This window comes from Homo sapiens, chromosome 4 (assembly GCF_000001405.40).
Source record: "Homo sapiens chromosome 4, GRCh38.p14 Primary Assembly".
NCBI lineage: Eukaryota > Metazoa > Chordata > Mammalia > Primates > Hominidae > Homo > Homo sapiens.
In genome coordinates this window covers 60,194,178-60,219,776 of record NC_000004.12, presented here as the reverse complement: position 1 = coordinate 60,219,776, position 25,599 = coordinate 60,194,178, and positions in this window count along the sequence as shown.

Below are 25,599 nucleotides of genomic sequence, written 5' to 3'. Positions count from 1 at the left end.
TTTCTTATTTTTTTTTTTTGTTGTTGTTTCTGAGACAGCGTCTCCCCTGTTGCCCAGACTACAGTACAGTGGCATAATCACAGCCCACTGCAGCCTCAATATTCCCAGGCTCAGATAATCCTCCTACCTCAGCCTCCTGAATGGGTGGAACTACAAGCGCACACCACCTCACATGGGTAATTTTTGTGTTTTTTAGAGATGGTGTTTCATCATATTTTCTAGGCTGGTCTCGAACTCCTGGGCTCAAGCAATCTACCCATCTCGGCTTCCTAAAGTTCCGAGATCACAGGCTTATAAGCCACCATGCCCAGACACATATATCTCTCTCAAATGCTTAATCCAAAGCTTTTTTTTTTTTTAACTGAAAGCTTTTTTATTAAAAAAATAGTTTTAATTAAAAATGTTTTTATTGAATCAACTAAGGGCAATGACAAGTGACAACTTCAGTCCTTCAGCTTTAGCATTGATAATGCTGTGTTTGACAATCCCTAAATTATTTTAGCCATGTTACAGAAACAGACAATTAGGACTTTTTACATCTTTGACAGATTGGCTTGCATTCACTTCATCTAAAAGTCAAAGTATTTAGATATAAATTTAAAACTGAAGCATAAAATAGAAATAATAATTTTCACTATTAAAATATTCTTCATCTTTTAGTGGTCACAATAACATTGTAAATGCTTTGAAGAAATATTATAAACCTAGATTGATTATGATAATATAACTATTGTTGGATAGACAGTTGCCAATTATGGTCTAAAAAATCTATAAGTATAAATTACATTCCTTTTTTTTTCTTAATCATATAAATTTAGTGTTTACCAGTAAAAACTTGTGTGTGCATGCTCCCTAAGGTATTGAAAATAATTATTGCAATTTAATTAGACCAATACAGAAAATGAGTCATTCAGTATGTAAAAGTGCAAACTCTGGATTCAGGACCTTTTAGTGCCAACACTTACTCCACCATTATGATCTGTGTGGTCTTAAGCAAATGACTTAAACTTCCTGTTCTTCAATTTGTTCATTTTAAAATTAGGATTAAAATGATTATCTATTTCCTATGTTTATTTTGGAGTTTAGATAATTTACTACGTATAAAAAGTTAAAATAAGTGCATACTTAAAGCTTAAGGATTGCTCAATAAATGTTAATAGTACTATTATTTTTGTAAAATTATGACGATACACAGAGAAATCCAACATGTTTTTATTTCTAGAGATATAGGTCATTTCTCTATAGCACGTTCAAAGAGACAGCTGATTTTAACATTGGCAAAATATGCCTAAAATGAATTAGAGGCAAATTTGGTGTATGCTACTATGGATGTGATCTAAACAACATTAAAAAACAGCATATTTGTCAATAATATTTTTGAATGTAGTAATTGATCATTTAAATGAAAATAATATATTATGGTCTCATCTTTCAATAATTTTGAGAGATTTTTCTAGAAACTATACATTTAACCAAAATCAGTATTTTTATCATCAAAATAATGTTTCCAAGATTTTAGTTTGCAAAAGTTATAGTATATGTGAAAAGTCTCTTATTTTTTAATTCTAAAAACTGATCCTAAAATTTTGTATAGAAAGTAAGTATTTTCACTCTATTAAAAAAATCTAACTCATAAAATTATGTATACTTTAAAAAAACAAGTTAAGTATACTGGGTTATCTTGTAATTGTTTGTCTTCTTATTTATTTATTCATTTATGTATTTATAGTTTGCAGTCAGCTTTCCAGAGCCAGTAGATATAGTGGCTTGTATCTGTGTTGTCACATGTGGGAGTAGTCAAAATTGATTTTGCAATTTCTGTTGATATTGATTAGGAAAGAAACCTTATAAATTTCTCTAAAGTCTTTTAATCTACCTAATTATTCATGAAATAGTAGTGACCCTTGGTATTTTCAAATATACTTAACTCTCTAATCTTAGGCTTTTAATTTATGTAGATGGCTATACCTAGTCAAATCAATAATAAGATCAGCATTATTACAACTATTATGTATCCATAAAAAGTTAAAAAATAAGATCAGCATAAGTTTTATAGAGATATATATTAGTTTTACAGATATACATAGAGGGAGATATTGAATATATCTTACAGATGAGTAAAAATAGACTGTTAATTAAATAATCTATAATGGTAAGTGCTTTTCAGAAATATAATAATAATCTTCCATAGATTTACCATAGAACATTCTTAATTTTAGATTAAGATGGTTAACAAATATGACAGGAGCTTTTTCTTTTTAATTCAATACTTTTTTTTTTTTTTTGAGATGGAGCTTCACACTGTCACCCCGGTTGGAGTGCAGTGGTATAATCTTAGCTCATTGCAACCTCTGCCTCCTGGCTTCAAGCGGTTCTCTTGCCTCCGCCTCCCAAGTAGCTGGGATTACAGGCGCCCGCCACCACGCCCAGCTAATTTTTTGTATTTTTAGTAGAGATGGGATTTCACTATGTTGGCCAAGCTGGTCTCAAACTCCTGACTTCCTGATCCGCCCACCTCGGCCTCCCAAAGTGCTGGGATTATAGGCATGAGCCACTGCGCCAGGCCAATTCAAGACTTCTTATAATCCCTTGGGAAAGGTTTAAATGAATTTGGGTTTGGAAGATATAAAGTAGTCCCCTCTTCTTTTCAAGGAATAGTTCCAAGACCCCCACAATGGATGTCTGAAACTTCTAAGAGTACCAAAATTTATGCACACTATGTTTTTTTTTTTTTAATCTAATAACCAAGATGGCTGCTAAGTGACTATCAGGCAATTAGCACAGACAGCGTGCCTACACTTGATAAAGGGATGAGTCATGTTCCCATGGGACTGAGTGGGATAACATAAGATTTCATCATGCTACTCAGAACACCATGCAATTTAAAACTTATGAATTATTTCTGGAATTTCTGTTTATATATTTAGGCCACAGTTGACCTCAGGTCACTGAAACTGCAGAAAGTGAAGCTGTGGATAAGGAGGAACTACTGTACTTATTTTACACTTTCTGAGTTCCATATTTCTCTCTTTTTAAAATAATTTTCTATTGCAAATATATTCTTGTTTGTTCCATTATCTGTTCAATATCTTTCTCTCTCCCTAGTTCTAATATGGCAGAAAGCATGTCTGTTTCTGATCCACATTGAATCCCAGCAGTCAGTACCTGCCTGGCATATAGCAACTACTCAATAATTGACTGACTGACTGACTGACTGACTGACTGAACAAATGGTTAAATGGATTTGCTTGGGAAATTTCTTACAAATAAAACTTGGGCCAGAAGCATTACATTATCAGCACTCACGCATACTATGATTATTTCAGAAGAAATACTTACACACGTATAATGGATATTTTATTAAAATCATTTGAAAGCAAAACTGGAGGTGTGTCATACAAATAATCAATAAGTTTTTACAGAGTGTATCACTGGTAACTCTGAAATAAAATGTTTTTTCTAAAAGACATTTGGTCAATAAAAATTTGTGATTCCAATTTAAAAAATCCACTGTAAGTCGTAATCTCCCGCTCAGTGGTTCTTTGTTATGAGCCATCCTCCCTACAGTCTAACCTATAGCATACACATTTTTATTGCACCAGGTGTCTGTGGGAATAACTTAAATTTCTTTATGAAATAGAATTTCTTAAAGGGTAGAATTAGAGGCTGAAATTACCATCTGATTGCCTTTAGGCTCTTGCCTCAAGCTAGTGCTTCTTGAGAGAGATATGAACTGTATAACTTTAGAAAAAATGGTAGAAACTGAAATGAACCAGGATAAAGTTGACTCTCACTATTACCATCAGCTTGTAAAGAATCATCCAAGGTCTTGGCTAGGTAATTTTTAATATTGTATTAGGAACATTCACTTTTATAACAAATCAAAGCAATGCTTCTTTTAAGTTCAGCCGCCCTCGAGAGATTTATCTCCAAATAATAAGGAACCTTATCCTATTTCACAGTAGAAGGAAGTTAAATAATAAATGGAAGTTTTGCTTTATTTCTACTGTCCTGTCATACCATTGTTCCAGAGTGTTTCTGTGCTAAATCACAGAATAAAGTCAGCTCAATTCTTTAATTCATAACTGAAAAGATGGTAACCCCATGCCCCATTCTTTTATTTGATAGCAAAATGTTTCCCTTCTTTTCTCTAAAATTGTCAGGAGGTAAAAATTAGACATATTTAAGAGTAAAATAAGTAATAAGGGACCAAGCACAATGATAAACATGTATTCATTCACTCACACATGAATTCGATTGAGTTTTGTGGTGCTGGAGTAGATGGTAGTGCAGGAGTGGGGAGCTGCACATGTGAAAACACATGACATTGTTTTCAAGCACCAACACTCAGTTAAATGAAAAGGCTATTAACTTAAATATCTGTTAAAGAAGAGTCCAAAGGATACATGTCTAAAGAAGAATAACAAATAATGAAGCAATGCATGCTAATTGTTAGGTACTGTTCTAACTTCATTGTGTGTGCTGGTTTGTTAACTCTAACAAAAGCTCTATGCAACCAGTGATATTACTATCCCCATCTTACAGCTAAGAAAGCTGAATTGGATGGAATAGGAACATATACTTCAAGGCCACAAAACAATTGGGGTGCCAGAATTGGACCGCACAGACTGACTCTAGAGTCTGTAGAGTATTGGTTCACATCTAGAATGCTCTTAGCGTGAGGTATTGTGAGCGTTTGACTCCTTATATTCTATGACCTACCACTTTCTCACAATCCCATTACATTCAAGATCATGCTTGTATAGACTGATCTTTTATCAGCATAAATAGCTCTCCTGCTTTTGGATTTACATGGCATGTAAAAGTATAGATGTGGAGGAAGTGAGCAGTGTCCTTAACTCAGTTTTAATTGTTGCTGTTTAAATATACTGAAACAAATAAAAATATAAATTAATAAATCAGTATCGCGAAGCGGGATGGAAAATCTTACAAACTTTTATAGCCAGAAGATGATTTAGAGATAAGGTATTGTGTACAACTAAAATTGGGCCAGGCACGGTGGCTCATGCCTATAATCCCAACAATTTGGAAGTTCGAGGTGGAAGGATTAATGGAGACCAGCCTAGGCAACATGGTGAAACCCCATCTTTCCAAAAACAAAACAAAAAGTCCTAGTGTGATGCTACTTGAAAGGAAGGCTGAGGTGGGAGGATCTTTTGAGTCCAGGAGTTCAAAGCTTCAGTGAGCTATGATCACACCACGGCACTCCACGCTGAGCGACAGAGTCAGATCTTGCCTCAAAAATAAATAAATAAATACAAATACAAATAAAATTAGATATCAGGGCCAAGATTTTGAATGAATAAACATTTGATATGCTATTAAAATATTTTTAAGGAGGTTGTTAGGGTATTGCCTAAAGTCAAAGGCCATGAACTGTCTAAATTTAAATGCTGGCACTTCCTCTTACTAGCTATGTGGGCATTGGGAAAGTAGATTAACCTTTTTCACAATAACATTACATACTATTGTGGTGATTAAATAACTTAATATTTGTATTATAATGAGAGCGTTATCTGGCACTAGTAAACATTCAATAAATCTTGGCATTAGTATTTTGTATTCAAGTATTTAATAAACTCTTTTCTCAAATATAACACAAGACTGGATATATGGGAAAGGAAAGAACATGGAAACAAACTGAATAGGCAAACACATTTTAAATATGGCTACTTGTGGGGATTTATTTACTTGACAAATACTTTATTAATTTCTATTATGAGATAGTCATTGCGTTGGTAATTCCTGGGAGTGATAGATATAAAACATTCTTTGTTAATGTACTTGCAATTATAAAGCATTTGCTTTGCCTTTTTCCCCCATGGTATATATATATATATTCCTACGGACAATATTTCCTATTCATTTTTAGATGTATGAAGATAATGAATATCATTATAATTGAACTGCGTCAGATACATTAAATATTATGAAACATGATAACAATAAAGACATTGAAATATATAACAAGACATATAAACTAAAATAGGCTCAAAATAATTTAACAACAGATATGTTTATAGTAGAAAAATATCATAAAATGATAAATGCTATTAAGGAACAGAAATAAAGAGAATATAAATATCATAAATATATATACACTTCTAAAAATATAGACTCAAAATATATAAAGCAACACATGCTGGAAATATGAGATGAAATAAGCATAAGTGAAAAATATAAAATCGAGATCAGATCTATACTGCATTCTCTACTTGCTTTTGATTAGACCTGTGGTTCTCAACATTTGACTACACATTAAAACTATCTTCGAACTTTTACAAAATACAGATGCCAATAGGCCATCCCCAGGCATTCTGATTTAATTGGTTTGGGGTGCATCCTGGTTATCAGTTATGTTTAAAAGCATCAATGTGACTCTAATGAGCAGTTAGAATTGAGAACCATTGTTACAGCACATAAAGGACTGATAACAAAAATGTCTTTTAATAATTTACATAGATAACTAAGTCAAGATGGGAGAATGAACAAGAATTTAGTTTCAGTGAAATTCTACTAACTTTAGGAGCTCCATACCATTATCAACCTTCTGCTGATAGAATCAGCCTTGCTATAAAGGTAGAACTGATATGGTCTGACAATTTTGAATAAAGAATGTAGTGAATACTAGATAAATCAAAGGAAAAACATAATTGTTTTATTCAAGGTAGGAAAGGAAAAGCCACAAAATGATTAAAATGGTAAATATAAAATATGGGGTTAAGATAAATTAACAATGCACCCCAAAGTGTATGTCCTTATATTTAAAATAAAGATACAGAAAAGGCTAACGATATGTTTATAGTAGAAAAACATCATAAAATGATAAATGCTGTTAAGGAACAAAGATCAAGAGAATATAAATACCTTATAAATCTTTATGCTCTTAACAGTGTAGACTCAAAATATATAAAGCAACAAATAATGTAATTATGGGGCAAAATAAATGACAAATATAGCTGGAAACTTTGTCAACATTAATGATAAATAATGTGAACAAATATTCATTATATTATAATTAATTAATTTGAACTAACATATTTAGAGATAAATTTTATATCCAAAGAGCACAGTAAACAGTTTTCCCTAGCACACCCAGAAAGTGCCAAACATTTACATAATCCAGTCCACAAAGAAAACCTCAATAAATTTCCCATTGATCAACATTACTCAGATTATGTTATCTCATCAAAATGAGATGTTAGACTTAGAAATAGACAACAAAATAATGTTTTAAAATTTAAATTTGTTTCACAAATAAATTATATAACTCATGTTACTTCCATTAATGAAGAAATAATAAGAGAAAGCATAAAGTAAAATTTTTTGAAAGTATAAAGTAAAAATTTAGTGTTGCTTCATCAACACTGAATTAGGTATCCCTACATAAATGCATAAAATGCAGAGTCACGTTATTGTAATATTAATGAATGTCTGAGATTATATTACATGGCTAATATGTTATGAGTTTCCAGATATGACTTATATATTGAAATCTATCCTTTTCTGGGATGCAGTTTGACTCTAACTGGTAGTCATTAACATATATATGGAAATAATTAATATAGAGAAAGATATATATATAAAGAGATATAGATATACATAAAGAGATATAGATATACATAGATATGAAAATAGTAATAGATAGAATTAATATATCTATGGAACTACTCCTGTGAGTGGCTGTAATTTTTAGTTTTTTGAGGCACCTCCAAACTGTTCTCCATAGTGATTGTACTATTTAATAATTTATATTCCTACCAACAGGAAACTAGGGTTCACTTTTCTCCACATCCTTGCCAGTATTTGTTATTGCCTGTCTTTTGGATATAAGTTATTTTAACTCGGGTGAGATGATATCTCATTTTAGTTTTGATTTGCATTTCTCTGATGATCAGTGATGTTGAACACCTTTTCATATACCTGTCTGCCATTTGTATGTCTTCTGAGAAATATCTATTCAAGTTTTTGCACATTTTTAATATAATTATTAGATTTTTTTCCTATAGAATGGTTTGAACTACCTATATATTCTGGTTATTAATCCCTTGTCAGATGGGTAGTTTGCAAATATCTTCTTCCATTCTGCAGGCTGTCTCTTCAATGTTGATTGTAACCTTTGCAGTGCAAAAACTTTTTAACTTGATGTGATCCCATTTGGCCATTTTTGCTTTGGTTGTCTGTACTTGTGAGGTATTGCTGAATAAATTTTTGCCCAGACCAATATCCTGGAGATTTTCCCCAAACTTTTCTTGTAGCAGTTTCATAGTTGGAGGTCTTAGAATTAAATCTTTAATCCATTTTGATTGGATTTTTGTATATAATGACAGATAGGGGTCTAGTTTCATTCTTCTGCTGATGTATACTCAGTTTTCCCAGTACCAGTTATTCAAGAGATGGTCTTCTTCCCAGCGTATGTTTTTGGCATCTTTGTTGAAAATGAGTTCAGTGTAGGTAGGTCAGTGATATGGTTTGGCTCTGTGTCCCCACCCAAATGTCACTGCAAATTGTAATTCTCAATGTTTGGGGAGAGACCTGGTAGGAGGTGACTGGACCATGGCAGCAGAGTTCCCCCTTGCTGTTCTTGTGACAGTGAATAAGTTCTCATGGGATCTAATGGTTTAAAAGTGTGTGGAATTTTCCCCTTCTCCTCTCTCTCTCTCTTACTCTGCCATGGTAAGACATGCTTACTTCCCCTTCACCTTCCACCATGATTGTAAGTTTCCTGAGGCCTCTCAACCATGCTTCCTGTACAGCCTGCTGAAATGTGAGTCAATTAAACTCTTTTTTTTCATAAATTGCCTAGTCTCAGGCAGTTTTATATAGCAGTGTGAGAAGGGACTAATACAGAAAATTGGTACCAAGAGTGGTGTACTGCTATAAATATACCTGAAACGTGGAGGTGACTTTGGAAATGGGTAATGGGCAGAGTTTGGAACAATTTGGAGGGCTCAGAAGAAGATTTGGAGAGCTCAGAAGAAGACAGAAAGATGTGGAAAAGTTTGGAACTTCATAGAGACTCGTGTAACAATTTTTTCCAAAATGCTGATAGTGACATGGACAATGAAGTCCAGGCTGAGGTGGCCTCCAATAGAGATGAGGAACATATTGGGAACTGGTGTTCTGAGCAGTTCCCATTGCAAGAGGTCACTCTTGCAATGCTTAGCAAAAAAGACTGGTGGCATTTTGGCCCTGCTCTAGAGTTCTGTGAAACTTTAAACTTGAGAGAGATAATTTAGGGTGCCTGGGGGAAGAAATTTCTAAGTGGTAAAGCATTCAAGATGTGACCAGATTTTTTTTTTTTTTTTTGAGATAGAGTCACACTCTGTCGCCCAGGCTGGAGTGCAGTGGTATGATCTCAGCTCACTGCAACCTCCACCTCCCAGGTTCAAGCAATTCTCCTGCCTCAGCCTCCCAAGTAGCTGAGATTACAGGTGCTTGCCGACACCCGGCTAATTTTTTGTTTGTTTGTTTCTTTAGTAGAGACGGGGTTTCACTATGTTGGCTAAGCTGGTCTTGAACTCCTGACCTCAGGTGATCCACCAGCCTCAGCCTCCCAAAGTGCTGGGATTATAGGCATGAGCCACCACGCCCAGCCATGACCGGATTGTTTCTAAAGTATTCGTATGTGTGAACAAAGAGATTATCTGAACCTGGAACTTATATTTAAAAGAGAAGCACAGCATAAAAGTTTGGAACATTGGGAGCCTGGCCATGTGGTAAAAGAGAAAAACCAATATTCTGGGGAGAAATTCAAGCCTACTTTATAAATTTACATAAGTAAAGAGAGGCAATAGTTAATAGCCACAACAATGGAGAAAATGCCTCCAGGACATTTCAGAGACCTTCACATCAGCCCCTTCCATGACAGGCCCAGAGGCCTAGGAGAAAAAAAAAAATGGTTTTGTGGGCCAGGCCAAGGGCCCACCTGCTCTGTGCAGCCTTGGAACATGACACCCTGCATCCTGGCTGCTCCAGCTCCAGCCATGACTAAAGGGGCCAAAGTACAGCTTGAGCCATGGCTACAGAGAGTGTAAGACCCAAGTCTTGGCAGCTTCCATGTGGTGTTGGGCCTGCATGTGCACAGAATCTCTGCCTAGATTTCAGAGGATGCGTGGAAAGAACTGTATGTCCAGGCAGAAGTCTGCTGCAGAGGTGGAGCTCTCACAGAGAACCTCTTTTGGGACAGTGCAGAGGGTAAATGTGGGGTTAGAGCCCCCACACAGAGACCCCACTGGGGCACTGCATAGTGTAGCTGTGAGAAGAGTGCCACTGTCCTCTAGAACCCAGAAAGAGAGATCCACCATTGGCTTGCACCATGTGCCTGGAAAAGCTGCACTACTCAACACCAGCTCATGAAAGCAGCCACAGGGGTGGTATCCTGCAGAGCCACAGAGGCAGAGCTACTCAAGGCCTTGGGAGCCCATCCCTTGCATCAGTATGCCCTGCGTGTGAGACACAGAGTCATAGGAGATTTTGGAGCTTTAAAATTTAATGACTGCCCTGCATGTGATCTGTAGCCCCTGTGATTTGGCCAATTCCTCCCACTTGGGATAGGAGCATTTACCCAGTGCTTATACTTTGATTGTATCTTGGAAATAACTAACATGTCTTTGATATTACCAGCACATAGGCTAAAGGGATTTGCCTTGTCTCAGATGAGATTTTGGACTTAAACTTTTGGGTCAATGCTGGAATGAGCTACAACTTTGGGGGACTGTTGGGAAGGCATAATTGTATTTTGAAATATGAGAAAGATGTGAGATTTTGGAGGAGCCAGGGGTGAAATAATGTGTTTGGGCTTTGTGTCCCCACCTAAATCTCATTTTAAATTGTAATTCCAGGTGCTGGCAAGAGACCTAGTGGGGGGTGATTGGATCACGGGGGTGCATTTCTCCCAGGCTGTTATTGTGATAGTGAGTAAGTTCTCATAAGATCTAATGGCTTAAAAGCATGTAGCTCTTCCCCCCACCCTTCTGACTCTCTCTTGCTTCAGTAGAATAAGGCATGCTTGCTTTCCCTTTGCCTTCCACAGTGGTTGTAGGTTTACTGAGGCCTCCTATTCATGCTTCCTGTATAGCCTGTGGACCTGTGAGTTAATTAAACATTTTTTCTTCATAAATTAATAGTATTTTGTATAATCGTTTCATTTTATATTATTACAAATTTAAAGCTGTTATAGTTTGTGTAATTCCTACAGTAAAAGTGACATAAAATCTTTTGAAAAATAAATATAAACTTTTGTAGACATACACAATGGGAACTTGCAATATTTTTAGAATTTTTTTGTGATGTACTAAACATTAACCAGAACATCTTATTCTCTTTTAGATACTTTTTTCTATTTCACCTAAATTTCCTTTTGTGGAAATTTTTACCTAAATTTTTCTTTTTCTTTATATTTCACCTAAATTTTCCTTTTCATGATTTAATATGTTCATCATATTTTTCTTAAAACATGTTTGTTTCCTGAAACCATTCCTTATAAAGCAAACCTCCTAATTCTGTTAAACCTTGCAGTTATTCTTCAGACCATTTGAAGAATTTGAATCACTGTACTTCTTAAAGTGAGAGTATAACACTAAAAATAATTTTTCAAATTGATCTTATGAAGGCTTTGTGTAATACAAATATTATCTTTCCTAATTAATTTCTAATACTTGTGCTTATGTAACTTTGAAATATGCAAGGTGTTTACATTGTGGACTTGCAAAAATGGTCCTACATGTCACTAAACACTATTAGCATTTATAACTAATAACAACATAATGTTGTCATTTTACTTAAGAAACATTTTCATTATTTTAAAATGTAAGATGAGCATACTAAAAGTATATCAACAAAGAGCCACAGCAAGTGCTGCTCTTGCTTATTCATAATAGGGTAATGTAATGTACACAAGTGGAGTTTCCTGCCAACAACTCCATTAGCAAGCCCAAACATCAAAAAGAGTAACTTGACTGAACTCGATGTGAAAACTGTCAATTGAATGACACCAATGGCATCTTTAACAATTTTCTTCTACTTGAAAACACATTAAAAATTATATTGGTGGTTATACTGACAGATTTCAAATAACATTTTATCCTTTAATATGTCTTCTTATATTCTTTTTTAAAGTCTTCAATTTTTAAGTACTTTACATTGTAATTTGTATTTTCATTTTGCTATTCTCTACCACTAACAACTATAGGTAGCAAAAATTGAGAGTTTTGGCCATTGCCACTGGCATAGCATCTTTTAATTTTAGTACCACTTCATGTCACAATTTAAACTGGAACATATTTCATTTTTGTTTAAAAATTATAGTTAGAAGATCCTGAAAATGCCACTCATAAAAAAAAAAATTGGTTTGCCACAGATTCCTCAGTTACTCTCATTTCTCCTAAGTTATTGAGGTAGAAACAGAGGTTAATAATTGGCCCAACATACTCATATATACTCTTCTTCCCCATAATGCATAAGTGTTTTACATTTGTGTATTTCACATTTACATCCTTCTTAATGGAAATATAAGGAATACTTTGTTATATAAAAGAATAATTCATGTGCAACACCTCAAGTTCTGGACAAATTATTTTTCTGTCAGGGAAAACTAGGTCATCAGTGATATCAGTAACATTGTAGGAAATAAAAATTCAGTTCCCAGTGCTATATGCCCTAGGTATATGGACACGTTTATATAATTCCATGGACCATGCAGTTGGCATAAACATGTATTTCATTATGGATGAATTCTGGCACCAAGAAAATTAAGCTTAGTCTAAATCCATGGAATAATTAAAAAACTTAAAATTCTACTATAGCATATCGTCAACAGAACAGGATTTAGTAACTGATTAAAAAAGATTTTTCTACATTCTGATCTCTTCTTAAAATTTAGTCAGCTCAGTTATTCTTTCATGACAGCATTCAGCTCAGTCTCACAACCCCATGGAACTGAATTCTACAAAATCCAAATGAGCCGAAAAACAGATTCTTCCGTACAGCTCTCAGAAACCAATGCAGCCTATAGACATCTATATTTCCGACCACTGAAATCTGTATTAAACTTCTGATCTACAAAACTGTAAAATAATTAAGGTGTATTGTTTTAAGCCAACAAGTTTGTGCCGTTTCTTTGACAGCAGCTATAGAAAATGTATAGACATGCTACCTCATCTAAATCATTATGTTAAATCTGTCTCTAAATACTTCTCAAATCAATCCCCCTCTTTTCATTTACATTACTATCTTAATTTAAGCCATATATTTTTAAATTTTTAAATTTACATATAATTATATATGTTTCAGTATTATATATTTACTAATTTTAATTATGTCCAGAGAAATTGTCCAAGGCTTGGAAATGGGTAAAACAGTTTGCTATTTCCTTTTAGTAGAGTGCTGAGCATTGCCTTGCAGAAGCTCTGGGGACTTTAGAATATGAGTTTTTGGTCTTTAAATACTTTTTGACCAAGTTATTTTACAATTCTATAATGGTAATGTTAACTTGTTGAAATTGATAGCAGTGAAAAGAATTATTGACCATAGGAATGCAAATTATTAATATAATCAATTTCTGCCCTATAGAAAAGATGACCCCACGTTTAAACTTTTTTTGTCCCTTGGAGATAATAACCAGTTTTCATCTATTAGTAAATAAATTTTGGCATTCATGGCTATAATGTAGAGCAAGCATATGATACTCCTGCTTGGGCCAAGAGCAAGACTGAGACACCATCCAACTGAATTGCCGTGAATGCTATTACCCTCACTAGCTAATGAGTTAAAAATCTGACTGGTATGTGATTATTTTATATTTGTAGACATTATTTTCTTAAATTTTAAAAATTTACACTTTATTATTTACTATCTCAAAGTCACATCACCAGTCATGTCCTACTTAAAGACACAAGCAGCTCATTTATCTCTGAATGAAATTCAGATTTCTTTTTTCTTTTTTTCTTTTCTTTTTTTTTTTTTTTGAAATGGAGTCTCACTCTTGTTGCCCAGGCTGGAGTGCAGTGGCTGATCTCGGCTCACTGCAATCTCCGCCTCCCAGGTTCAAGCGATTCTCCTGTCTCAGCCTTCCAAGTAGCTGGGAATACAGGCGCCCACCACTGTATCCGGCTAATTTTTTGTATTTTTAGTAGAGATGGGGTTTCACCGTGTTAGGCAAGATGGTCTCATCTCCTGACCCCGTGATCCGCCCGCCTTGGCCTCCCATAGTGCTGAGATTACAGGCGTGAGCCACCGCGCCCGGCCTCAAATTTCCTAAATTAATATTCAAAGCTCTTCATGGATACATACCTGAAAACGTCTCTTCGACTTTTACCAGTCTCTCCTATTTGTATTTCAGATTCCCATCCCTTTTTACAGGCTGTTACAGGTGTTATGCTCTGCTTCAGCTCTTAATTTTACCTGAACTTCTTCGCCTATTTTCTTCTTTTACCTTCCCCTTCCTTAATTTTCAGTTTCTATTTTAAATGTTTCTTCCTCTTATAATTTTTCCTTGGACACTCCAACCTGGAGTGCCACACTAACAAAGCATATGTCATACTCTGTTTCATCACCGACAGACCCTGTTTGTAAACATGATTGTCGTATTCTTCACTGACATACATCCCCATGCCCCTAACACTTGGCATAGTGTATGCTATGTTATGTGTTTAATTATGTAAAGACTGCTTTCTCTTTAGTTATCTGTTGTCTAATATAAAATTACCTTATAAATGCAATACTTCCTATAACCAAGGAAGCCTTGTTCCACGACCCAGTTGGGAAAATCAATCTCACTGTAAATTTATTTATTATTTTTATGAAAGAAATTTTGGGCTTTTGATAGGAAAAATATGGATACACAAAACATTGTGAGCTTGGAGACATCTATATTATTTTTTAAATCTACTAAATACTTTCGGTTTTTAAAACATATATAGAGGAATCATAAGACACAATATATGTTATTAAACACATTTGAGAGTTTGCTGAATTATGATTTTGTATTTCTGCAACAATAACTAAGATAAATCTTTTTCTCCCTAACTTTATAAAACTTCAATATTAAAAAATAATATTATAATATGATGAGAATATAAACTGCTAAATACTAAATATTTTTTTAAAATATTAATATTATTTTCCTTTAATTCTAAAATTAAAAAGGATACAAACAACTATAACATACTACATAATGAAGATTTCCTTTGCTTAAATTGTAGGAACTATTTTCCCACAGAGGCAAAATATTAAACATATTATATTTTATAAACAATAACAAAACAATAACATAAAAAATTTGATTATGTTTTTAAACGTAAACAAATGTATGAATATACAAGACTTCCCTTTTTCATTTATCTGTCCCTCTTGTATCCAAATCATATTGAACATCTAACATTATTTTCTGATGTTATGTAATTCTTTTCTTCTGGTATTTGAAAGACCAATGTGAATAGCAGAACTACAGGAAGGAAACAAAACATCATTTTTTCACTGATCCTTTAGGGAAGAGAAATATGTTTTCTAACCTCAGTATAAATCAACAGAGAGTTTTCTGTGGACAGCTTATAGTATTTTGACTAGTGTCTCAGAAATGTATGCTCTGTGAGTTTTAAAATTCTTTCAGAATTATTCTCTTCAGCTTTTGAGCCTCTAGAATTTTAAAGTTTAGTTGTGATTTCAAAGTCTCATTATTTCTTCTACACCACACTACCTATTAGATAACAATATAGCAAAGGAATAGCCAGATTTTACAGCCTTAAAATTTTCCCTTTATATCCAAAGTAGTAAAAATTATGAATTGAAATGAAGAGTTGGGAAAAATACAATCCAGAAAAGTAGGATCACATAGTCATTAAACACCATCCTACATTATACTTCTTTTAATAACCTGCGTAATGTGCATAGGTTACACATTTGTTCTCCATTGAGGACATAAAAATAAAATAAAATAAAATAAAATAAAAATTAAAAAGCAAGGAGGAAAGAATAGTGACAGCAGAATATGTTCTTGTCCTGAGAAATTGCCCCTCTGATATTTTAAAATATCCTGAAATTGAACAGAGTAAAATCTCAGGGAGGAAAACTGACTATCTCTGCAATATTTATATCACATACCTTTTGATAGTATTTTTTTTTTTTTACTTAGCTTTTTGCAATAAGTACTTCCATTGTTTATCTTGCTGAATGATAGGGAGATTTTACTTTTTTTTTTTTTCTCTCACGCTTGGTTTTCAAATTCCAAACTCTAATAATTAAGAAATACTTCATTAGCTGATTTCATCACTAAAAAAAGAGGCTAATATAAAAAATATATTGTCAGTTCTGCTTTTAATAACAGCTCCAAATTGCTTTTCTCTATTTCATTGGAAACATATTAATTTCTATAGATTTCTCTTTTATGAACTTCTGGGGAATTTTTCAAATAATAATAGAAAACAACAGTATGGAATCTCATTATCAATTACTAGTTACTTAATTACTGAATTGACAACTTTGGAATGTACCATTGTATTTTTTAAATGAAAAGTCTGGTTTTTAATTTGTTATAGAGAGTTTGCTATTTAAAATGAAATGAACATTTTATATATTAGCTGGAAAAATGTTAAACAAATAAATACTGTAATATAGATTTTCTTTGGTCTTGTATTAATATTTAGCAAAACTGAAACAATTATATAAATGTATGTTCCTAGGAAATAATAAGAATATCTAGATTGTAGATTATAATTATTGTCACCAATAAATTAAACATAAATTGAGTGCTTATGAAGTATTCAAGTTACCATAGTAGAAAAACAATAACACGTTATAAATAATTAATATTTAATCTGTCTGTTAAGAGATAACTTCTTTGTCCCAGCAGGCTGAGTGGATAACAACATTTGTTAATGATGCTATCTGAAAGAGTATGAAGGCTGATGATTACAAAATTTCTTTTATGTTTTTTGTTAAAGCCCATTTTTATTCACAAAAGACAGAGTTTTTCAATTTGCCTTCATATATGTATATTATTGCATCTCTATTCAATATCAAAAAATAAAATAATTTTATGTTTAGCATATGGAAAACACTCGATAAATGATTCCAGTGAAATTACTGATATATTCAAGAGTAGATTCAACAAAGTCTTCTGAGACAGAGGCCATTATTCTGTTTAACAGTACTGACCTAGATATAATAAGGTAGAAAGGGGCATAAAGATTATGTACTTTAGTCAACTTATTTTACAGATAAGAAAACTGTGAGCTGAGACCTACAGAGGTTAGTTTATCTCACAAAAGTTTGTATAGCTAGTTATTGGCAGAATTACTACCAAGACCTGAGTTTTCTGAGCCCATTTCAGTATTCTACTAAGCCATGCTAGACTTCTTATTTAATAAAACCAAAATGTTATTTTTTAAAATATGCTACTAACACTTATTTTATATTAATCTTATTGTTTTAGGAAAATAGTAATACTATTTCCTTCATATGATAGTACATATTTGTAAATTACTTTATTCAGGGAGTATAATCAAATATTCAATATTTCCAAATAAATTTCCAGGGTACATTTTAAGTGAATATTTGAAATACCAACACAAGTGAAATGAGAAAGTGTGAAGACATCTGTTCTCTGATTCTTGAAAAATAACTATCTCAAATACTCTTCAGAATTTGTTGAGCACGTACTATGTAGCAGGCACCGTACAAGGCATAGAAAAATCAGACCAAACAGATACAAAGTTTACACCATGACTGATTTTGATAACTACACTAGGGTGATTAGAATTTTCTGGAAAACTCTGAGATGTCATTTTTATACTGGAGCATAATGAAGATCAACATTGTATTTTACATAGATTATTTAGACAAGTGCAAGATGAAGTATATTGGGCCAAAATTAAAAGCAACAAAATAAGCGGAATTAGCACTCAGAGAATTAACATGGACGGTTTCCAAAGTAGTCATGTGTGAATGAAAAGGCAATGACAGTGAACATAAAGAGGAGGTAAATGCCTCAAGACATATTAAGAAAATAAAATACCAGGTTTTGATGACTAAACAAGAAAATGAGATGGAAAAATCATCAAGAATACACCCTTGATGCTTGGCCCTAACAGTGTGGATAGTCATGCATTTAGCAAGAAATAAAATACAGAAGGAGAATTCATAATTACTGGAAGTAAAAATTATAATTTCCATTTTAGACAGTGAGTTTGAGGTGCCTGTGTATCATTCAAATGGTGATGACAACTAATAGAATTCAGAAATGTGGGTCCAGAGAGTTAAAGTTTTGGAAATCATCAACATATATATGTGGTAGCAGAAATTTGGGATATAAATAAAATATCCTAGGATTTTGATATAAAGCAAAAGAACATTGTCTAAGAATAAAACGCTGTTCTATGTTTACGTTCAAGGGACAATCTGAAGAATGGTTACTTGAAAATGAAATAATGAAGTAACTGAAATAGGAATGATAGCAAGAAAAACTGTGAGCAGCACAGCACACTCCAAACACTAGGTGGCGCTCAAGGTTCCTCTTTGCTAATATTTTTCCATTAAGGATGGGCCAAGTTAAAGGGCAATGTTATTTTTCTACACAAGATGTGGCATGGTCTTCTTTTTGAGATTTGTTTCTTTAGTTTTTCTCTTATTTCCCAGGAATATGGCCTTCAGGCCAAAGTGTTAACTTAAGTCAGTAAAATTTTGGGTATGTGATACCCAGATGAGCTCTAGGCATTAAGGCAAATCAGTCCCCACCTTGCTGCTGCCTTCATTAACTTCTATCGCCATTATTTTCCTAAACTGTAATTTTTTGGACCACCTGCATCAAAATTATCTAATCCAACCACCGATATACTGAATCAGAATGAAGTGGAGGGGGAGGTTTCCTGGTAAAATGCATTTAAAATAAGCACTTCTTATGATTGTTAAGTTTCCTAGTGTTTAGAACAATTGATTCAGATGTGAAATATAAACATGGGCCTAAAAAAATGGGCCATAAATTTCAGGATCTAAACCTGCCCTGTTCAATACAATGTCCAGTAGCCACTTGCTACATGCAGCTATTGAGTACTAATATTATTTACTAGTGAATGAAGAACAGAATCTTTAATTTTATATAATTATAATTAAATTTAAATTTAAAACCTTATGCCTCTATCAGTAAAACTTTTGAGTATATCTGGAACAACTGGTTTATATGAACCTATTTTTAATACTGTAAATATTGTAAACATTACATACATGCATTTCTGATAAAAATATGACATATGAATTGATATGTGCTATGTTTAAGTACAAACTGGATTTTAAAAATTTGACATGAAAAAAGAATGTAAAATATTCATTAATAATTTTTATGTTACTTGTTGCAATGATACTGTTTTCACCATATTGAGAAAAATTAAGTATAAATATATATACATAATTTATAACCATCACATAAATAATAAATACATAACATCTAAATATTACATATAACAATACATGCAAAAAGTATATAATGTGGACATTTAATATATATATTTATATTATATTGTATTACAAAATAAAACATTTTATTACATATTAGATAATATAAATATAGAAATATATAATAAATATAAGTAAATAAATAAAATATATTACAAAATTAATTTTTATTTTTTTGTTGCTTCTAAATGTGGTTACTAGACACTTAAAATAACATATGTAGTTCACGTTTTACTTCTATTCAACATCATTGAACTCAACAAAAGTAATTCCATATGTGAGGTTTCTACTGCTGCATAACATATTATCAAAAATCTAGTGTCTTAAAACAATCACATTTATTATATTATAGTTTCCATGATTTAGATGTCTGGACATAGATGAGCTGTATCCTCTGTTCAGGATGTCACGATCACTGTTACCCAGGCTACATTCTCAACTGAAGGATCCACTGGAAAAACAAATCCCTTTCCAAGTCCATTCAGGTTGTTAGCAGAATTTATTACATTGTGACTGTAAGATTGAGACCTTCAGCTCTTACAGGTAACCTGTAGTTTTTTGCCTTGGAAGCTTCTCTGTAGGTAATTCATAACACAATGACTTGCTTCTTCAGAGCCAGCAAGGAGCAAGAGCAACTCTAGTGACAGAGATTTACAGAACATAATAGCATCATAGGAGTGATATCTCATCACCTTTGTTATAAAATGTAACCTAGGTATGGGAGAGATATTCCTACATCATTGCCATTTTCTATTGGCTAGGAACAAGTCACAGGCTCCAATCACACCCAAACAGAAGGGATTATACAAAAGCATGAACACCAGTAGGCAGACATCATTGAGGATTACTGTAGGGTTTGTCTGCCATGTATCTGTAGTTTCATATCCATCAATGTTAGTAACAGACCACACTGTCAGTGAGCATAAGAAATTTTCCTGTTGCTGAGCTTTCATGAGGTTAATTGAATTGTACTTCAGCACTCCTCTTAGAACAACTCTGCATTACATATTAATATAATCATGAATGTAATTAGCTCTAGGTATATAGAGAAAAAGTAAAGTTGTTTCCAGCAACACAAATTGCAAGTATTTATTTCATTTTTTTCATATAAAGACAATAACTGAAAAGGTAATACAAATATGTACGACAATATGTAATTAAAATAATGCTGCCGTTGAGAGAAAAGTAAAGACCATTTTTCTTAGGCAAAACTAGGTCAATTCATATTGTGGATATATTTAAGCTTTATTGCTACTCACCTAACTCACCTTTTAGCTACATTCACATTAATGGAAAATTTAAAAAATTTTGGAGAAAATTTAATTTTATTATTTCAATTATGAAGGCCTCTATCTCCCAACACTTTTTTGTTGATAGTAATTTTATGCTAATATACATTCCCTAAGAGCACAATTGCTACAGCAGAACTGTGCATGATTGATAAATAACCTTACATAAAACAACCCTAGCACCTGTGGCAGAGATGATCCTTGGTCAAATAGTTGAGGATCCCCTGAGACTGGATGTAGATTCCATAGGTCGGGAAGAAATGGGTTTTCCTCTCCACAGGTTGGGGAGAGTGCATTTTCCTCTCTAAGAAAACTGAACTTGCAAAAAGAGATTTCAACAATTTTATGTATTTGTATGATAGGAAATCTTGTAATTTCAAAAACATGTGAATCATTTGCATACACTTACATGAGATTAGTATTTTTTATCTGTGGTATTAGTAAAGTTTAATCTTTGGCGCAAACAGGATGGAAGCATAACATACTAACATCTAAGGTAATACTAGATGGAGCTGAATAAAAATGAGTGCATGGCAAATAATAAAATGAAACATACAATCAATAGCTATTCAAGTGAAGTATTAATACAAAATATGTTACATGGGAAGTAATTTTCTTCCTATTGCATAACATTCCAATTATAAATTTATCTTGGTTGTATAGATTTTCTATTTATTCTTCATCTTAAAAATAATAATTTTGACTTTAATTTTTGATCATTTTTTCTAATATTATAAAATTTCAATAATTATTTTGTAGTTTGTATCTTTAATTCTTACATGAAATAAATTCATTGGCTAGAAAGAAACAGTATAAATTCAATGAGTTTAATAATTATTAGTAGTAATATAAAGTCAGGATATTTATAACGGTAACCCAATAAATGTCAGCATTTATTAAGAAGAAAATAGGGAAGTTTAACAATAGAAGCAGAAAAAATATCAATATATTCTTACACTTACAATATATTTTTTTGGTTACTGTTTGTTTGTGGCATTTTTATAAAATGAGTAATAGGAGGGGTATTTAGGAGAACACAGATATTTCAAACAAAATTTTAAGGTACTGTTACAAGGTACTAAAAACATAATTGATTACTAATAGAGAAAATTAGCATTACAATGAGCTTCTATATTTGTTGAATAAGAACAGTATTTTAGAAAAGAGCATAGTAGGCTATATTACAACTGAGAATATAATATTACAAATACTGTACCACACTTCAAAAACATATATAGTTCTCTTTTATGAGTTAACAAGGACAATTTAACAAAATCTTTAAAACTTTTATTTTGACAACATAAGAGTTAATGTTTAAATACATCTAGGGCTGGTAGTTGAAGAGACTTATTAAAAAGAAACTGTCAGTAATATTATTTACTTTCTCACTGGTGAGAAAAGAGCTGCATCATTAATTGCACTAGTTTAATTGTCAATCTATTATTTCATGATTTCATATTATATTGATAACTTGGGACATCCTATCAAAAATATTTGGTTAGGAAAGGTGAACAAATAATCTCACAATCTGAAATTATATTATGTCATATCCTTTTATTTAATGCTATATTATATTATAGGATATGTTTATTTTTTATTTTAATTAGTGCTGTGTAATTAATCATCTTTAAACTTCATCATATAAGATAACCATTTTCTTATTTTTTTAATAATCTTCTTTGTCAAGAATTTTGAGCAGGGATTGGCTGGGAGGCTGTGTTTATGGTTTCTTTTTCAATATTTTTTAGTTTATTTTATTTACTTTTAAAAAATTTTACTTATTTATTTTGTATTGGAACAGGAATTGGCTGGGTGGTTATGCTTAATTTATTGCCAGCTGCAGCCCCTCAAAAGGCTGCATCAAACTGATGGCTGAGCTGGACTGAAACATCCTAGGTGACTTCACTCTCATGTCCGCTGTTTCGGTTTTCCTCTATGTTGCCTCTTCATGCTGTTAGTTTGAGCTTTACCACAGCATGGTACCTTCTGGGTAGTTGAATTTCTTATATGACAACTAGATTCATGAGTGAAAATTGTAGTGATAGGGTTTTTAAGCGATCAACCTGCAAAAAGCCTTAGTATTACTTTTATTATATTCTATTGAACAAAAAGAGTTCAAAATTAGCCTCAATTCAACTGCTTCAATCTTATTAGAATATTTAAAAAAAATCTCTGAGTGATTTGATTTCTGTCTGTCTCTACAACATTTTGTTACTTTTTCTTTCCCACTATACCCTGGAATTAGCATTCTAAAATCGTTCCTCCAAAAGAAAGCTTTTGCCATCTAGGGTCTTCATGTATGTTTCCTTATTCTTAGAATGCTGCTATGTGATACTGAAAGCCCAGCACAAATGTTACCTGTAGCATGCCATTTTCACTATCTTATTTTACTGGGTATCGCACTCAACTCTTGATTATTGTCTTTTATTCATAGTTTTCTTAATGATTTATGATTATATCCATATTTATATCTAAACATAAATACATAGTTTATTTGTCCATTTGTTCATTGTCTGTCTTCTCCATCAAAATATAAGCTCCACAAGAAAACAGCAATGACTGTTTTATAAATTTTTGTTTAGAACATAAGTAACATGCCACTGTATCAAATGTTTATTAAGTAACATACCATTGTGGCAAACGTTTATTAAATGTTTATTAAAGAAATGACAAGAAAATAGGGTGATAATATAAAGTTAAATGAAAAAAAGAGATTTTAAATCTAAATGAGTGAAATGAAACTTCCGTGTGTGTTTGTATGTATGTACTTGTGTAGGTGTGTAATTGTGTTGAGAAAGTCTGGAAGATTTACCAGAATATTAGTCTAACATTTGATCTTTGGAGAGTGGTATTGTTAGTGAATGTTTAACTATTCCCTCTTTTACTATTTTAAAAAAATTAAATATGGATGTATATTTATTGTAATAAACATGAATTTTGTCTCATGTTACTCTTATCATACCTTAAATTCTTTGTGTGCCAGATGAGTATTCTAACTCCCATGGCTTATTTTCACTACAACCTATTTTCCTGCATCATAGAAATAACTCATGCTATAGTTATGTATAAGTTGAAGCTAATTAGGTTTAATCAATATATTAATTTTCTTTAGGGAAGCATTCAAGTAATTGTATAAACCATACAGAAAATTAATACCCACTTTGCCCTTGGCATAACACTTTCTCCTCTGCTATTTAGTAAAAATGGATCACATAAATGTTAAATTTGTGCTATTCTGCTGACAGTGAAACTTAAAGAAAGCTCTCATGCTATTAAGCTAAAGTTGAAAGAGTAGAGCTAAAGAAATTTCTCCATTGTAAGAGAAATGTGAGCTTTGTAGAAAGCAAATTGGCTAGGAGAAATTCAATGAGGTGCCATCTAAAATGAGTAGATAAAGTAAAGAGAGTGCTTTGTAGAACCCGAGAGAAAGCAATTTAGATATTTGTGGTGATAGCTCAGAAGCTTGGATGCCTAGAAGTAAACTAAATCTGAAACTACTTGAAGGATAGTGAACAGAAACACTCTGTCTTGTATCATTTTTGTGTTTATCTTTGCTTGTTGATCTGTCGTCATGGTTAATCATTTGTTATCTGTTGCATCTTTCCATTAAAAATAGTGGAAGAACAAAGATTAAAACTCCAAAAGCCAAAGTAGCTTCTATGAATGGGAATATTCTCTGCATGTCCAGTATTCATGACCACTGCTTAACTTTTCATTCTCTTTCAAATACCACTGAAAACATTTTGATGAAGTTACCTCCAAGCCTGTATTCATTTATGTTCTGACATTAAATATTGCTTGAAATGTCCAAAGAATTAAACTTCTATGTTAAATGTCTTTGCTAAATAATAGATCTAAACATCTCATTATGTATGAATCCATAAATTTTCCTCTGTCATTTATTATTTACAATCAGCAGAAAGTCTGTTAAACCATGTATATACATTATCTAATTTAATGTCTGTGAACACTGAATAAGCTCAATTATATCAAACTCCTTTTAAAGGTGAGAAAGTGAAGCTCAAAGATCACTGAATTTTTTTCTAACTTTGAACTAGTAATAGAGAAAGCTGGTATTTGAATCACTTCTCCTTAGGCTGAAATCTAGATGAATTAATGATTTAAATATTAAAAACAAAATCATCAATGTTAGAAATTTGAACAAGTTTTTAATTTTAGCATTAAAATGGTTTCCCAAAGCAAGAAAATCTAATGCAAGAATGTGTAATGATAAATTTGACTACCAATAGTTTTAAACTACCTGGCAATAAATGGAGCATGCCAGGCGCAGTAACTCCCACTTTTAATCTCAGCAACTTGGGAAGCTGAGGCAGGAGGGTCAATTGAGCTCAAGAATTCAAGAGCAGCCTAGGCAACTTGGTGAGACCTTTCCTCTACTAAAAATAGAAATAAAAAGTTAGCTAGGTGTGGTGGCACATACCTGTAGTGTCAGCTCTTCAGGAGGCAGAGGTGGGAGAATCACTTGAGCCTGAGATATTGAGGCTGCAGTGGGCCAGTGATGGTGTCACTGCACTACAGCCTGAGCAACAGAATAAAACCATGTCTCTATTTAAAAAAATAATAATAATAATAAATAAAAAATAATAAATAATAATAAAAGATAATAATAATAATAATACAACCGCATGTTGTATTAAATAGCAACATTTTTAATTGAGAACCAATGTTAGCAATTTAAAAAACACAGCTAATAAATATAGAAATAGAGACAGGACATATACATTGCAAAACAAGGAATACAAAGGGAGCATTAACTCATAAATATATGCTGAAATATGTAGTAATTAGATATGTGACTATTTTAAGATTGAAAAATCATTTT